Raw genomic sequence first — 18,917 nt, forward strand, 5'->3', positions numbered from 1 at the left:
GCTGGGACTCACACCAGCACACTTCTGCCTACTCCCTACCTTGTCAGGCTGTTGGCCCCAGACTGTGAAATCCATCATCTGCTCTCCTGCTTCTTTGGCCGTGGTACTCAGTCTGAATTACACCACCAGTTTTTCTGGGTCTGAGGACATACTGTGGGACTTCTCAGCCTCCATAATCACATGAGCCAATTCTTATAAATCTTTCTCTTATGTATTTGTATATGTCCTGTTGGTTCTGTTTCTCTGGAGAGCCCTGACTAATACTAGTCAGGGTTTTTTTATTATTCTAAAATTTCAAATGGTAGAGAGAAAGTGAGAGTAACCTTGCAATTTCACATTATCAGAATAACCACTATTAACCTGTTGGTAATTTCTTGCAGAATTTCTTACGCATGTAGAGCTAGCGGGAGAGATAGAGATATAACTGTGCCATAATATTCTCCCTTAGCTGCATTTTAAAGTAATATATTGTTTATGTCTTTTAAAAGAATACATTCAGTTCTATTTTATTATTTTTTAATGACTGCATAATATTCAATTATATAATTGTACTGTTATTTATATAACCAATCCGTTTTTTTCTTCTTTTTCTGAAGACAGGGTCTTGCTATGTTGCCCAGGCTGGTCCCAAACTCCTGGACTCAAGTAGGCCTCCTGCCTCAGCCTCCCAAAGTGTTTGGATTATAGGCACAAGCCAGAACACCAGGCCCAGTCAATTTTTGATATTAATATAGATAATGTCTTAATATAGATAACAAACTTAATAATAGCTAAGTTTTCACTGTTAAAACATAAAAAGGACAATTTTATGCAAAAATATTCGTTCATAATTCCAGCACTATTTTCCTAACATAAAAAGTTAAAAATATGACATTTTATATTTTGTGTTTTGCAAGAAGTTTTCATTAGTATTGTGAGATATCTTTAAATACTTTTATAAAACTTATTTTCATTTTTGATCATTTGGTACTTATCAAATACCACAAAGTACTATTAGTTCTTATATGAGCCTCATCTCAGTATAACCAACTAGTAAAAATTACTTGAGACTACTATGTTTTAAACTTACTTCACATCACCCAGATATTGATTCTATTGTGCTATAAGCTTCTTACAATCAATAAACACAGGAAATGCAAAAATCTAACATTTATAATACATGACTCTCATCCTCCTACCGTATGAAAAATTTGTAGTAGTTTTGTGAATAGTGCATTTCTATTTCTGAACTGTGACTATTTGGTTTTCCTTACTACAGTGAAAGACCTAGTCCTGGGTGTCCAATCTTTTGGCTTCCCTGGGCCACACCAGAAGAATTGTCTTGGGCCACTGTATTAGTCAGGGTTCTCTAGAGTGAGAGAACTAATAGGATCGATATTTACATAAAGGTGAGTTTATTAAGTGTTAACTCACACAATCACAAGGTCCCACAATAGGCCATCTGCAGGCTAAGGAGCAAGGAAGCCAGTCCAAGTCCCAAAACTGAAGAACTTGGAGTCAGATGTTTGAAGGCAGGAAGCATCCACCATAAGAGGATACTTGAAGCTTAGGCCAGTCTAGTCTTTTCACGTTTTTCTGCCTGCTTTATATTCTAGCCTTGCTGGCAGGTGATTAGATTGTGCCTACCCAGATTAAGGCTGGGTCTGCCTTTCCCAGCCCACTGACTCAAATGTTAATCTCCTTTGGCAACACCATCACAGACACACCCAGGATCACTACTTTGCATCCTTCAATCCAGTCAAGTTGACACTCAGTATTAACCATCACAGCCACACATAAAATACACTAACACTAACTATAGCTGATGAGTGAAAAAAAAAAAAGGTTCATGCATAAACCTCATAATGTTTTAAGAAAGTTTATGAATTGGGACACATTCAAAGCCGTCCTGGGCCACATGTAGCCCATGGCCTGCCACAGGTTGGAGAAACTTGACATAGTCATTTATCTAGTTGCTTAATCCAGAAAACTGGTTTTTCTTCTTCTTAATGTTTCTGGGATTATCCATGTATCTCTATTCCCAGTATTACTTTTAGTACATTCCGTTCTCCCACAAGACTCCAACAGCTTCCTAATTGTTCTACCTGTCTCTGACTATGCCCTAATACGAACATTCACCTTATTATAGCTAGAGACCTAGATAAAAAAGGAATTTGAGACTAGATTCTGGCTCCTGCTTATCTCTCAGCCTCATCCCAACTTTTCTCTTCCTGTACTCCACATTCAAGGCATTCCAAAATAGTACTAAGACTCTAAATATACAATATTTTCTGGTGCTTCTATATTATAGTGAAGGCCTGAAATTTTAGAAGGGTCTTGAGTGGCCTAACAACAAGTTATCCTCCCCCTCTGCTTCTGCAATAAGCTCCCCTAGCCAAATAACCCTCCTATCATGGGGACCAGGCACAATCCCTATGTCCCCTGGCTTCACTTTTGTGCCAGCTCACAAAATTATTCAAAGAAGCCACTCACATCCTTCCATAGGAAGCAGGGTTCACCCTACCCTCTTGTTACTACAAAGCCCCCCACAGCCCCTGCTTGTTCATCGATTCCCAAGTGCACCTCCACATAGTCCTCCTTGGTTTAGGATGTCCTTCTCCCCTGGGCTCTGCGTATATCTGATTAATAAACTCCTGTCAATCTCATCTGTTCAATGGCAGGTGTTGTGTTTTCAGCCATTTCCTTAACCCTAGGGTAGGAATCCCTTCCTCATCAACAGAGTGAAGAAGAGGTGAATACAACATGGGTATGCTATATTTCCTATGTTTTGGAAAAAAGTTTCCTTTTATCTTGCTAAATTCTAGTCATCCATTGGGACTCAGTATTGAAATGGTATACCTTGTCTCTTTTAATAACCCAACCTCTGCACTTTAATCAAATTAAAGCCTTTTTAAAATGCCCCTGACACACTGCTTCAATCTGAGAAACCTTTAGCAGGGGAGGAGAGTGTGGACACTTCTCCATTTCCTTACCTTGTTCTGATCCTTCTTGGCATCACTTGGCCCACAAGGCTGCTCTTGCAACTTCCTGGATTGGTTCTGGAGGGAGAACAAAAGATGTGAAAAACATCTTAGTTGACAGAGGCAGATACAATTTGGTATTTAGTGTCCTCTGAGTATGGCAGATTCCCAGGGCTCATTTTTTTTTCTGGAATATTTTTGTGGCTTTCTTAGATTTTCTCCCTTTGCAAAAACATCAAAATTCAGTTTTTGTGTGTGGGGAATGTTTCTGTGACAGTTATTCCCTACATTCCCCTGTCTCCCAGCAGCTTCTCCATTGGACAGTGTATCTACAGCCTCTTCTTGCTAAAGGCTCCTCCTTCCTGGCAGCAAATGCTCTTGAAGAGGAGTGTCCCATTAAAAGAGCATGTCAGGTTCTTTCCTATAAAACCCACTTCTCAACATAAAAATTACACCTCTCTGACCAACCACTGATGGAAAATAGAGACTTCTTTCTTTACAGATCCAGGTACAAACTTCCACTTCTGAATTTCTCAGGTGTGAAGCAAACACCAAATGTTTATATCTCTAAACTTTAGTGGACAAATATCAAATTATCTGGGCAGCACTTTGGAAGATCCACTTCGCAGCTGTGAGGTCAGGACAAACACCTTGTTTCTTAGCCACATAATAGAAATAGGTAAAATGCCACTGCATCTGGGCAACTTATTTTAAAGAAATTCTCTCTTTAGTTAGGTTTCTTCAACTTTTTACAACCTGCAAACATTTGAATGTGTCTTGCAAATTTCACGTGTTGGAAACTGAATCCCCAAATTCATATGTTGATTGGACATGGGACCTTTGGGAGGTAATTAGAATTAGATAAGGTCATCAGGGTGAGGCCTTCGTTATGGGGCTGGTGACTATAGGAATAGGAAGACAGACCTGAGCTGACACACACGCTGTCACCCTCTCGCCCTGTGATGCCCTCCATCATGTTATGATGCTGCAAGAAGACCCTACCAGATGCCAGCACCATGCCCTTGGACTTCCTAGCCTCTAGAACTGTAATAAATAAATTTTATTTTTTAACCCAAGAGGCGGAGGTTGCAGTGAGCCGAGATCGTGCCATTGCACTCCAGCTTGGGCCACAGGGCGAGACACAGTCTTAATAAATGAATAAATAAATAAATCACCTAATCTGTGATATTCTGTTACAACCTGTATAGAATATAAACCAAGACATATTTTCAAATCAGGGTATGAGTCAATAAGTGCAAAAATATTTTTTACTACTTACTTCGCAGTCCTACATAGATGATTTAGCAAGATACTTTGAAATGGAGGGCAGCTGGCATGTATGGTTCTGTTTTTCTTTTGGGCCTGGCATGAAACTGAAGCATATGAAGTCTCATTTTAATATCCTGTTATATTTTGTACCTAAATTTTATTTTCTACAACATTAATTAATTTATATTCTTAACAGTCTGACTAGATCTTTTTCTATATAAAAAAGTTAATTGTCAATGAACTTGCTACATTAACCAAAGATTTTGAATAAAAATTAATAATTTGGTTAAAACTATGTTGAGTATATATTTTCTAAGCTTATTCATATTGGAAACTGCAAGGTTTTATGTTGAATCATATGTTCCATGATCATTTCAAAATAAATAACCATTTTAATAATGTTTGTTATGGGTTTTTAAAATAGGTCACATCTTGTTTGGCATTTTAATTCCTCATGCATCAGTGGCAACATCAAAGGCAAGTTTTTCTCTTTTATCGTAAATGATTTTGTTTGGATTCTCTGAATCTCAAATGAGGTCATGATGAGCATTAGGAGTTCTGAGGAGGCCTCTCAAACTCCTGCGGTTGTAAGAAAAGTTTGTGTGTAAAATTATAAAGTATTATAGTGCAACTTAATCCTAGAAGGACAGTGCCCCAAGACAATTTAAAAAATCAACATATATTTTGGTGAAAGGAAGCTAAGTAATATAAAACAAACATGCTAATAAACAAAAACCCAGCACTAATTGTATATCAAGATAATTGTGTTTATGCATTAATATTCACATTCTACAAAGGATCTGACTTGACTTACAGAAATACATTGTATATAATAAGATTTTTTTCTTAAAAAGGACTTCCAGTTTGAACCTGAATACATATAGCCAAAATGTTTCTCCTTTTAAGAAATCACAAGAAGGCAACAAGAAGATAATTGAACACAAATCACTTCTTTGGTAAAACCAGCTGACAGATAAACCCCAGACTCAAAAATAGTTGGAAAGGATTCCATAAACAATGAAGGTCAAACAGCAGGGCTGGAATCAAGGAGACTGACAAAATAATATATTTTCAATAATCTCAGAGAGGGAAAGTATGACCCAAAACTTACAATATATATAAAGTGTGATCCAAAACTTAGAATATATACAAAAAAGACTAATAAATTCAACTCCATAAAACAGTGATGATGATGATGATATTGATAAAATTCTGCAAGGTAAAATATCTTGAAGAAAAGTGACCAACTGGAAAAAATATTTGCAGCTATTACCTTCAAAAGTGTAGTTTTCCTAATATAAAAAGAACTCTAAAAAATCATTAAGGAAAAGATCATCAATCCAATAGAAAAGGGCAAATAATACAAATTAGCAGAAAATAAAAATGGATCTTAATCACGAAAAGCTGCCTGACTTCACTTACAATAAGAGAATACTATCACAATGATACTGTTTCTCACCAGTCAAATTGGCAAATATAATAAAAATGTAGCATATCTGTGTAGGAATGTAAATTGAGAATACTTGTATAGAGTACCTTTTGGAAGAAAACCTTCAAAATTAAAAATGTTTTATGTGTGTAAAATAATAATATATTTATAAGATTATTCATTATTTTACTCTTTGAAATGGCAAAAGGTTGAAAACAACCCTAATGTAATTAGTACGTGTCATGTTAAATAAATTATGGAATAGCCAAATTTTGGTACAGCATTCTGAAACTGGAATACTAAGCAGTTATAAAGAAGACTGTAGAAGATCTTTATGTCCTTATAGGAAACTACATTACATATATTGTTAAAAGTATCCAGCAAAAGGTAGAATCATGTGTATGGCTTGCTCCATTCCTACAGAAAAGAAGAAAAGAAAAAGTATACACACAGTGGTCTTGGAAGACCATTGACAGAATAGAAAAGAAACTGACGATATTTTTTTTCCTCATGGGAGTGGGGGTATGAGTAGCTGAAGGATAGAAAAGTGAAGATAACTTTTCTTGTATACATTTTTATATCAGTTGAAACACTCAAAATTTATATTATATTTGTATTTATATTATATATTCAAGTAAATAAACTTAAAGGCAAAATCAAGCAACAATAATGACAATATGTACACTTATGATCTTGCACAATTATGAACGAAGTGCCTCTCTGATCTGAGCATCCTTTTGGCCAGTGCAAATGAAGGTATAAAATCAATATCTAAGTTTGTTTTATCCACAATACAGAACAAGGATTTTCTAGTCTCCAAAGCCTAAGGAAAAAATTTAATTTTTGACTGGAAACATACCATATTTTTGTTAAAATTGCTAGAAGGGCCCAATCTGTATGGCCTCTGATCTCCCACTTCTTTAAATTGATAATATTATTAGTTTGTGACATTCCATTTAAAATCTAATTTAGTTATCTACTTCACAATTTATAAGTTTGGTTTCTCTTACAACATTCCACATGATATATATGACTATGCCTGCCATTTAATGGAGTTTACTCTGAATATCTCTGGTACTTCAGCACCTACAGAGAAGGTTTTTCTTAATTATGGCCTAAAGAGAGGAGTCAATTGAATATGCCAACAATTTTAAATTTGTTAATCATAAATTACCTTTTAAAATGATTTCAGTGAAAGAAAAAATGTTAAAGGCAGCCAGAGAGAAAGGTCATGTCACTTACAGATGGAAGCCCATCAGACTAACAGTGCACCTCTCAGCAAAAACCCTACAAGCCAGAAGAGATGCGGGGACAATATTCAACATTCTTAAAGAAAAGAATTTCCAACCCAGAATTTCATATTCAGCCAAACTAAGCTTCATAAGCGAAGGAGAAATAAGATCCTTTTCGAACAAGCAAATGCTGAGAGAATGCATCACCGCCAAGCCTGTCTTGCAAGAGCTCCTGAAGGAGGCACTAAATATAGAAAGGAAAAACCCACTACCAGCCAGTACAAAAACACACTGAAGTACACAGACCAGTGACACTACGAAGCAAGCACATAAACAAGTCTGCAAAATAACCAGCTAGCATCATGATGACAGGATCAAATTGACACATAACAATACTAACCTTAAATGTAAATGGGCTAAATGCCCCTAATTAAATGACAGAGAATGGCAAGCTCGATAAAGAGCCAAGACCCATCTGTCTTCAAGAGACCCATCTTAGGCGCAAAGACACACATAGGCTCAAAATAAAGGGAAATTTACCAAGGGAATAGAAAACAGAAAACAGAAGGGGTCACAATCCTAGTTTCTGACAAAACAGACTTTAAACCAACAAAGATCAAAAAAGACAAATAAAGGCATTACATAATGGTAAAGGGTTCAATTCAAGAAGAAGAACCAACTATCCTAAATATATATGCATCCAATACAGGAGCACCCAAAATCATAAATCATAAATTTCTTGGAGACCTACAAAGAGACTTAGACTCCCATACAATAATAGTGGGAGACTTTAACACCACACTAACAGTATTAGATCATTGAGACAGAAAATTAACAGATATTTAGGACGTGAACTCAGCTCTGGATCAAGCAGACCTGGTAGATATCTACAGGACTCTCCACACAAAAACACAGAATATACATTCTTTTCATTGCCACATGGCACTTACTCTAAAATTGATCACATAATGAGAAGTAAAACACTCCTCAGCAAATTCAAAAGAACTGAAATCATAACAGTCTCTCAGACCACAGCACAATCAAATTAGAACTCAAGATTAAGAAACTCACTCAAAACCACACAAGTACATGGAAATTGAACAACCTGATCCTGAATGACTCCTGGGTAAGTAATGAAATTACGGCAGAAATCAAGAAGTTCTTTGAAACTAATGAGACCAAAGAGACAATGTACCAGAATCTCTGGGATGCAGCTAAAACACTTATAAGAGGGAAATTTATAGCACTAAATGCCCACATCAAAAAGCCAGAAAGATCTCAAACCAACAACCTATCATCACAACTAAAAGAACTAGAGAACCAGGAGCAAACAAACCCGAAAGCTAGCAGAAGACAAGAAATAACCAAGATCAAAGTGGAACTGAAGGAGACAGAGACACAAAAAACTCTTCAAAAAATCAATGAATCCCAGGAGCTGGTTTTTTGAAAAAATTAATAAACTAGATAGACCACTAGCTAGACTAATAAAGAAGAAAAGAGAGGAGAATCAAATAGACACAATCAGAAATGATAAAGGGGATATGACCACTGACTCCACAGAAATACAACAACCATCAGAGAATACTATAAACACCTCTATGCACATAAACTAGAAAATCTAGAAGAAACTGATAAATTACTGGATACATACACCCTTCCAAGACTAAACCAGGAAGAAATCGAATCCCTGAATATACCAATAACAAGTTGTGAAATTGAGGCAGTAATAAATAGCCTAACAACCAAAAAAGGCCTAGGACCAGAGAGAGTCACAGCTGAACTCTACCAGAGGTACAAAGGGGAGCTGGTATCATTTCTATTGAAACTATTCCAAACAATTGAAAAGGAGGGACTCCTCAGTAACTCATTTGATGAGGCCAGCATCATCCTGATACCAAAACCTGGCAGAGATATAACCAAAAAAGAAAACTTCAGGCCAATATTCCTAATGAACATTGATGCAAAAATCCTGAATTAAATACTAGCAAACCAAATCCAGCAGCATATCAAAAAGCTTATCCACCACAACCAAGTTGGCTTCATCCTTGGGAGGGATGCAAGGTTGGTTCAACATCTGCAAATCAATAAAAACTGGATAATCAATAAGCTGGACCTTTTCCTTATACCTTACACAAAAATTAACTCAAAATGGATTAAAGACTTAAATGTCAAAAACAAAACTATAAAAACCCTAGAAGAAAATCTAGGCAATACCATTCAGGACATAGGGACAGGCAAAGATTTCATGATGAAAACACCAAAAGCAATTGCAACAAAAGCAAAAATTGACAAATGGGATCTAATTAAACTAAAGAGCTTCTGCACAGCAAAAGAAACAATCACTAGAGTGAACAGACAACCTATAGAATGGGAGAAAAATTTTGCAATCAATCCATTTGACAAAGTTCTAATATCCAGAGTCTACAAGGAACTTAAACAAATTTACAAGAAAAAAAATAAATGACCTCATTAAAAAGTGGGCAAAGGATATTAACAGACACTTCTCAAAAGAAGACATTCATGAGGCCAACAAACGTTATGAAGAAAAGCTCAACATCACCGATCATTAGAAAAATGCAAATCAAAACCACAATAAGATACCATCTCATGCCAGTCAGAATGGCATTATTAAAAAGTCAAGAAACAACAGATGCTGGCAAGGCTGCAGAGAGAAAGGAATGCTTTTACACTGTTGGTGGGAGTGTAAATTAGTTCAACCATTGTGGAAGACAGTGTGGTGATTCCTCAAGGACCTAGAACCAGAAATACCATTTGACCAGGCAATCCCATTACTGGGTATATACCCAAAGGTATATAAATAATTCTATTATAAATATACATGCACATGTATGTTCATTGCAGCACTACTCACAATAGCAAAGACATGGAATCAACCTAAATGCCCATCGATGATAGACTGGATAAAGAAAACGTGGTACATGTAAATCGTGGAATACTATGCAGCCATAAAAAGGAATGAGATCATTTCCTTTGCAGACAAATGGATGAAGCTGGAAGCCACCATCCTCAGCAAACTGATGCAGGAACAGAAAACCAAACATCACATATTCTCACTCATAAGTAGGAGCTGAACAATGAGAACACATGGACACAGAGAGAACAACACACACTGAGCTTGTCAGTGGGGCAGGGGGAAAGAGAGCATCAGGACAAATAACTAATGCATGTGGGGCTTAATACCTAGATGATGGGTAGATAAGTGCAGCAAATCTCCATGGCACACATTTACCTATGTAACAAACATGCACGTTCTGCACATGTATCCCAGAACCTAAAATAAAATAAAAATAAAAAACAAAATATGGTATATATACATCATGGAATACTATACAGCCATAAAAAGCAATGAGGTCATGTCCTTTGAAGGGACATGGATGGAGCTGGAAGCCATTATCCTTAGCAAACTAACACAAAAACAGAAAACCAAACGCTGCATTTTTCACTTATAATTGGGAGCTGAATGATGAGAATACATGGACATGTGGGAGTAAACAACACACACTGGGGCCTGTTGTAGTGGGGAGACAGGAAGGAGAGCATTAGGAAGAATAGCTAATGGATGCTGGACTTAATACCTAGGTGATGGGTTGATAGGTGCAGCAGACCACCATGGGCACACGTTTACCTATGTAACAAACATGCACATCCTGCACATGTACCCTGAAACTTAAAAGTTGAAAAAAAAAAATAAGGCAAGAATGGAGAGACAAGGGAATATAAAATAGGCAAGAAAAATAGAAAGCACTGAATAAGATGATAAATTTAAATGAAAATATATCATCCCTTACGTTAAATCAAATGATTTCAGAAAGGCATTTAAATTTAAAAATGTAAAAATAATAAAATTATATTTTAAAAATATACTTTTCAAGAAAATTCCAGTGACATGGTATTAGAGAAAGATATCACTAAAAAATTTTATTTTAGAACATGGATATGTACCAAGAATATTTATTCTGCTTATATTATCTTTTAAGGTTCAGAAAATGAAATGAATACAAAGAAGTTTTAAATATTTTGTTTCAGTTGTACAGATCTGTATTTTTCTTTTTAGAAAAAAATTAACTTTTTTTTGAGGAGCACTATGTAAAAAAATTTTTTTTTTTTTTTACATCAGGACTCTCAAAGCTGTCCTGATTGGTCAACAAATGACATGGCCACTCTTTTAAATCATCTCACTTAGATGCAGCCAGCTCTGTCAGTAGATGGCAGTCCTGACAATGTGATCTAAGGGAGAGTGAAGCAGGTGGGAACACCAGTTCAAAGCAAGTGGACCAAGCTGAAATTATGGAGAGAACTGTGATTTATTCATGGTCATTTTACCTACTTACTGTAGACTTGTGCAGAGCCCAAATTAAGCTGGTTGATTCATGCAAACATTTTAATAATTAGTTCTAGAAATGTGAAAAATCTTTATAATTCCTTTTATTAGTTGAAATTGTCCTATTTTCCTTGAGACCACGAACTAAAAAGAACATATGGTGACTTAATTTTACAATAAGCTGAGATTAGTAGAAGAATAGTGATAGATGATTTTAAAAATTTATAAACTCATAGACTGAAACCTCAAGATTGTGTTTGTTTGACCTAGTGTTTAAAACCCAAAACTTGATATAGTGGAAAAATGGTTAGTTATTGCTAGAATTAGGATGAAAATTAAATTCTAGGCAGAATCTCAAGTAGCATGTATATTTATGATTTGCAGTTGAATTATCAACTGAATTTAATTAGCTGTGAATATTTTGGGGCCTATATATTAGGCATTTCAAAACTGTTGTTTCTGTATTTTGTTGACAGGTCACAGAAAGGATTATTTCACACTTTAAGAGAAAGTGACTCAGGGTTGTTGGAAGGTGGGTAAGAGTGACTAAGTCTGGGTGAAGTTTCCTCCTGCCTCTTTGCCTTTTCCTATGCTATTATTTTCCCACCTTCCATAGTCCGGGGAGATGACCGATGGATTCCCAGGATACTCCTTTACTTACTACAAGTGATCAAGGAAATTCAAGGACTGAATATGATAAAATATATTTGGGGAGGAAATGTAAAGTATTTTAAAATTGACAGTAAGTATAAGAAGTAATTTCTGAGGGCAAAATGGTGGTTGTCTAACAGGGGTGCCTGGTCCCCGGGCCATGGACTGGTACCAGTTTGCGGACTGTTACGAACTGGGCGGCACAGCAGGAGGCAAGAGGCAGGTGAGTGAGCATTCCCACCTGAGCTCCCCCTCTTGTCAGATCAGCCTTGGCATTCGATTCTCATAGAAGAGTGAACCCTATTATGAACTGCGCAGGCAAGGGATCTAGGTGGTGCATTCCTTATGAGAACCTAATGTCTGATAATCTGAGATGGAACAGTTTCATCCCCAAACCAACCCTGCTGGCCTGTGGAAAAATTGTCTCCCATGAAACCAGTCCCTGGTGCCAAAAAGGTTGGGGACCACTGGTCTGTAATTTGTAATATTGAGAGAAATTGGGGAAAACAAAGATTTTTCAGAATCCAAAGTGTAAACTGATCTAGTGTAAAAGATTTATAGCAAATAACAGACCCAAAAGCCTTAGTTTAAGGCCAGTAAGAAATCAAAATCATAAGAAGAATGAGGCTAGGGTAAACCCAACCCAGGAAAATAGCTCTGAGTAGACGCTAAAAGGAATTTGACTTGAGAGGCAGATATGGAAACACTTCTCTACCATGATCTAAGGATCTGAAATGAGCAACTCAATTTTCCTGGTGAAAATATTCAAACTCCATCGTTTGCAATTCAGTTCCCTTTATGAGATGGCCCAACCTCTGTTTGTTTCCTAGTCACTTCTTTCATAGCCAGTGTGTATCCAATGAGTAGACCTATGGGCCACTCTTGTCTGTGCTTTCCTGCTGCCATGGTGACATGAGTTTTGAATTTCTCTTTACCTAGATTACCTACACCTCCACTTTGAAAATAAACACACTGCTCATATTTGACCAAATGGATCAGTTTGTCCATAAAATTTCCTCTGATTCCCTCAGCTGGAAGTACTCTTTCTTTCTAAATCCTAAATTCATGCTAAGTACCTCATCTGGTCGCTTAACGCATTCTGTTTTGGTTTCAACTGTTGATGCATTCTTTTACTACGCTGTAAACCCTTAAGAGATAACATATATTTTATTGTTCATAGGCAAGCCAACCTTGCTGATAAATATTCACAGAATAATTAAGATTACCATATATAATTATTATCACATAATTGTTAAATTAAATATGTAATTACTAAATCACATAATTATAAAGATAATCATGTATGTATATATGTATTTATTGACATGGGTTAATCCTTTCAAGCAGGTTATTGGGTCTCAGGGTCATTTAAATAAAAGGATATTGAGGACTGAAAAGGAAGTCACAATAGGAAGGGAATTGCTTAATAGTTCAACCTGTTCATGTAACATTGCACGAGACTCTAGTTTTGTTTATTTCAACCATATATGTTTTTTCTCCTACCATGAACTTTGAAATGGCTGTCTGTCTACTAGATTACAATGCATAAGAAGAATAAGATTAGAAGAATAAGCATTTTTGTTTGTTTGTTTGAACTTGAATTTTAGGTTCAGAGATACATGTGCAGGTTTGTTATATAGGTATGTTGTGTGTCATGGGGTTTTGGTGTAAGATTATGTTTTCACCCAGGTAATAGGTTGAGTACCCAATAGGTAGTTTTTTGACCCTCTCCCTCCTCCCATCCTCCATCCTCGAGCAGGCCCTAGTGTCCATGGTTTCCTTTTTCTGTGTCCATGTGTTCTCAATGTTTAGCTCCCACTTATGAGAACATGTGATATTTGGTTTTCTGTTCCTGTGTTAGTTCACTTAGGATAATGGCCTCTGGCTCCATCCATGATGCTGTAAAGGACATAAACTCATTCTTTTTATGGCTGCATAGTATTCCATTGTGTATATGTGCTACATTTTCTTTATCCAGTCTACCATGGATGGTCTTTTAGGTTGATTCCATGTCTTTGCTATTCCTATCAAACTACCAATGACGTTCTTCACAGAATTAGAAAAAACTATGTTTGTTTTTTAAGAACTGGAGAACCATAGTCAACTGGGGGAAATATCTTCTCACCTGTTAACAGGAGTGGGTGAGACTAGGCTGTTTTATAGAACTTGAGATCTTCCTATTTTGAACTTTTCTTTGGGAGCTGGATGATTTTATCACCTTAATTGGTAAATGTGTCTTGCAGAATACCTGCAAATAATGAATACTCAATTAAAAAGTGGTTTACTTTGTTGTTGATTTACCATATGCCTCAGAGATTTTCCTAGTTATAATCAAGAGCTATGAAGTATGTAAGTGTTTTTCAAACCATCACTTGTGGAACAGAGCCAAAGGATTGAGATGGAGTGTAATTAGGAGTGTGTATAAATGATGCCTATTTTCTGGTGCATACTAGATAATTGTGCTTATTTTTTATAGCTAGAACAGCGACTAGAAAGTAAAGTTGACAACCTATTAGGAGCTTTAATTGCCTTTAAAATTCAAGTTCTACTGTAAATATTACTATTATAATATTGATAATATTTTAATCAGCCTTCAGATGTAGCTGTTTTTAAATACAAGAGAATGTACTTAAATATCCACCTTAATGTCATTCCTAATATTAGACCAGAGTTTTAGCAAAGTTATTAAGTTGAAATACAATCTTTAAACTATTTGCCAGAACATTAAGTTAGAATTTGCCAGTTCAGGTCAATATTTCTATGACACAATGCATATGGAAATTATTTAAATATCTTTACTTTTTAAAATGAGGACTATTTATATTGAGGAGAAATATCAAAAAAGTTATAGCATTGTGAATACAAAAAGAAGAAGAAGAAGAAGAAGAAGAAGAAGAAGAAGAAGAAGAAGAAATAACAGCTAGATACACTCTAAGCAGCTCAACTATCATTCCTAGAATGACTCCACAGCATTTTCCCCTTTGTACAGTAGATGTCACCAAAAGTTAAAGATGCCTGAGTAATAGATGCTCTTGGTACAAAGGAGAAATGTTTAACTATTATTTGAATCTAACGGTGAAAAATGCTAGAGGGCAAAACGTGCTTTTTCATAAGCATGTCACACTGATGCCTTTATCTATCACATGCAATGTTTCTTCCCATTGGACATATTCAACCCTCCTGAAAAGACAATGTATTTTATTTGTTTTTACGCTCTGTCTTTTTCTTTCAACCTTGGAATTCCATTTATGTTTTTTATATGCGGTCTGCAGGCTCTAAGAATTAAAAATATATCATTCATTAAAGGTAAATCAGCTAATTTCTATACACGTCTGAGATTCTCAGGTAAAAGGTGTTATGTGAGATGCATGCCTAATTGCAATATGTTCCAAATGATTGTATTTTTCTTTTAAACAGGGGCAGAAGACTCTCCATATACTATCATTAATGCCAACATCATTATATTAGAATATTATATCTGACAGTCAATTAAGGGTTGCTGGGAGCTGCCTTTCTCCAGTAGGAAGCACAGAAAAGGGAAAAGGGCCTTCTAGCACTTTCTCAACTTACTGAAGGCTGACTGATTCCAACCTTACACTGATAGTTTGATCCCAGGACAACAGGTGCAAAATATCTCAACCCCTGGGGCTAAGATAAGAAAGCTCAGGGGTGAGAGGATCCTATCTCCCCAACCTCTGCAACCACATACATTGAAGAATTCAAATTCAGTTGCCACAGCCCTAGGCCTCCTAGAAAAATTGAACTATCAACTAATTAGGGAGATCTAGGGGGCTCCCATAATGGGCCCACTCAGAAGACTTTTCAGATCACAGTCACTTCTCCACCAGTTCAGGGTCCCAAATGTTCTAATACAGACATCATCAGCTCAAATGCCTCTGGGATCCAGGCAAGTAACATAAATGTCTGAATTGGTCTAGACGGCTAACCCCACCATAAGGTATTTCAGTTCAAACTTTATCAAAGCTATTTCCACACAAACAAAAATCTGTAAGCCAGATTTCCCCCAGGCCCTTAGCTTTTGACCCCTGCTCTAATTGAATCAGGGTTTTAAGAAAGCAGCCAGGCCAGGGAGGTGGCTCATGCCTGTAATCCCAGCACTTTGGGAGGCCGAGGCGGGCGGATCACGAGGTCAGAAGATGGAGACCATCCTGGCTAATATGGTGAAACCCCGTCTCTACTAAAAATACAAAAAAATTAGTCGGATGTGGTGGTGGGCGCCTGTAGTCCCAGCTACTCGGGAGGCTGAGGCAGGAGAATAGCATAAACCTGGGAGAAGGCAGAGCTTGCAGGGAGCCGAGATTGCGCCACTGCACTGGAGCCTGGACGACGGAGTGGGACTCCCTTTCAAAAAAAAAAAAGCAGCCAAAGCATTTTGCGGGCAGACTGAGCTTGCATTCTAACGAAATTCCTGTGACAATTTTTTCATATAACCATATAGGTAAATTATAAAGAAGAGGAGAGTTCTCGTATCGATTTTTTCATATAACCATATAGGCAAATTATATACGAGAGGAGAGTTCTCGTATCAGTTTTACTTTCTCTTCACTAAGAACTTCGAGATGGTTTCTACTTAGAACAGCTGGGGTTCCATCTGGGTTGCCTTCGGCCTGGTGCCAGACCTTACTTAGTTCCTAGTTCTGAAATCCAAAACGTTATCAATTAGTTCAGTAAAACGTCCTGTCAAACGTTGTCTGTCTGAGTTAACTGCACTAGTGAAATATTTTATTGAATATTCTTTAGAGCACATTTATAATTGAAAAATGTTGTTTTTGGAAAAACAGTACAATGCAAATTCAGCTAGAATAGCTTATATTTCACTATTTTGAAATCACTGAATTCCAATAAAAGCTTGAGCAAGCTTTTAATCTACTGTCCTTCCCTGTAAATAAGCTACAATAAAAATGTGGCAAAAAATTAGACATAGCATTCACGATATTTCCACTCAAAACTTTTTCCACATTCTTTTCTATTCTTGGTAGCTATGTAAAGTTTTTGACAGTTATTTGCACTTAATGTTTATCAAATGTTGCTACAGAAGTCTCATAAATAACAATTTAGTTATTGCCCAATAATACTTCATCGAATTGATAGGCCAGAATTTAATTAATCATTTCTTATTGCCAAGTAGCTAGGTTTTTTTCCGTTATAAGTAAATCTGCAATGAATAGAAATATATTAGTTCTTTTAGATAATCTTTAGGAAAATTCCCTAGAGTGAGATTACTGCATTGAAGGAGACTTTTATGTAATTTTTGGAACCCAGAATAAAAATGGTTTCTAAAATGATATCAATGTACATATACACATTACCATAAATTATTTTATTATACACATTTATTATACACATTAGCATAAATTATTACCTTATTTTACACTGTGTATATTTATTAGGTATGTTTTCCAAATTTTAATGAAAATTTTATTTACTTTTTCAATTTTTTGTTTACTAATTTTTCCTTATATGTGCTTGCATTTTATCCTTTCATGTTTTTTTCTGAAAATATTTTATTAGCCTTTTACCTTTTATTTTGGTTACGATATATTTCATTACAAAGAAACAATGGTTATATGTAGGAAAATCTGTTTTTTTTTTTCTTTATGGCATCTTTCCCCTCTTTTATCAAGATTTTTAATGAGACCAGTTTCCCGCAAGGTTTTCTGTTAATTAGTTTATATAATTCTTCCTGGCAGCCAAGCTGTGGGTAACTTCCGTATTTAGTTATTAATCTACTAGCATTGTAGGGAGGGCATATGATAAAAATTACCATTAATAATTCTCATTAACTTTGAAACATTTGCTACACTATACTGTTTAGTGTCTTAACAAATTTTGAGAGTAACTAAAAATAAGAATTTGTTAATAATTGAAAACAGTAAAATTCAACACAGTGCTACTCAGCTCTTGAATTTTAGACTATGTTTTTTCTCTGGAACTTAGTATTTACATACCAAGGGACCAATTCTTTTTAAACATTTTTCTCCCAAAATGACAAAATCAATCATTACTTTATAGAACATACAGCTTGTCTTAACCAAACAACTAATTTTCAATACTAGTTTCTAATTGGTTGTTTAAAATGTTAACATTTAGTTTCAAGTTAATTTGCTCTTTTTTCAAAAGACCAGCGGAAGCCACATGATTTATGAGTTTGTTTGTATAGATATTGTAGGAAAACAGTGGGTTCCTGTGACACGACCAGGAAAGATTAGGCTCGCAGACACTTTGAAGGGTGAGGGGGAACGAAATGTATTGGGCGAAAAGGAAAAAAAACTCAGCAAAGCGATAGGAGTTCCTGTTAACAGGCCTCCATCTCACAGACTGAATCCCAGGTCACCACCCCGGAACAGGAGAGCCTAGGCCAGGCTTCTCCTCCCTGCAAACAGTGGAACTTCCCGATGCCCCACCGCGGCCTCTCAGTGCACAGCTTCTCTTTCCGTCTTCAGAAAGAATAAGGGGTGGTGTGGGAGGGGGTGTGGTGGCGGGGTGGGGAGGGTGTTAGTGGGGGTGGGGGGGTTGCAGGGCGGTGGGGAAAGGGCGGGCTTCATCCGGGACTGGCAGTTCAGTTTTTCAGTCCTCAGGCTGTTTTAGGCTTGAAGGCAGGGTTTAACCTGGGGGGATGGGGGTCGGGGTGAGAGGTGACAGCATGCTGGCAGTCCTCACAGCCCTCGCTTGCTCTGGGCGCCTCCTCTGCCTGGGCACCCACTTTGGCGGCACTTAAGGAGCCCTTCAGCCCGCCGCTGCACTGTGGGAGCCCCTTTCTCGGCTGGCCAAGGCCGAAGCTGGCTCCCTCAGCTTGCAGGGAGGTGTGGAGGGAGAGGCGCGGGCGGGAACCGGGGCTGCGCGTGGTGCTTGCAGGCCAGTGCGAGTACCAGGTGGGCGTGGGCTCGGCAGGCCCCACACTTGGAGCGGCCTGCCGGCCCCGCCGGCCCCCGGCAGTGAGGGGCTTAGCACCTGGGCCAGCAGCTGCTGTGCTCAATTTCTCGCGGGGCCTTAGCTGCCTTCCCACGGGGCAG

General features: G+C 37.1%; 1 long non-coding RNA gene across 3 annotated transcripts in view, besides 1 other annotated feature; it reads right to left on the reverse strand.

Moving 5' to 3' along the window:
- Nucleotides 1-14,218, reverse strand: part of LOC105377328 (uncharacterized) — a 29,105-nt gene extending 14,887 nt beyond the window's left edge. For 2 of the 3 annotated variants that reach the window (XR_938979.2, XR_938980.2), the window contains exons 1-3: nt 14,009-14,218; nt 4,240-4,333; nt 2,973-3,038 (exon numbers count right to left, since the gene is read on the reverse strand). This is a non-coding gene — a long non-coding RNA (uncharacterized LOC105377328). The remainder of the gene's footprint in view (nt 1-2,972; nt 3,039-4,239; nt 4,334-14,008) is intronic. The other variant, XR_938981.2, reaches the window with a different exon arrangement.
- Nucleotides 18,236-18,828: an enhancer, noted in NCBI's record as "H3K27ac-H3K4me1 hESC enhancer chr4:90410728-90411320 (GRCh37/hg19 assembly coordinates)". NCBI's record gives its function as "activates a minimal SCP1, AML or CMV promoter by ChIP-STARR-seq in naive H9 embryonic stem cells {active_cell/tissue: H9 hESC(naive)}" and the evidence as "EXISTENCE:reporter gene assay evidence [ECO:0000049][PMID:30033119]".

Source organism: Homo sapiens, chromosome 4, assembly GCF_000001405.40.
Source record: "Homo sapiens chromosome 4, GRCh38.p14 Primary Assembly".
In the NCBI taxonomy this organism is placed as follows: domain Eukaryota; kingdom Metazoa; phylum Chordata; class Mammalia; order Primates; family Hominidae; genus Homo; species Homo sapiens.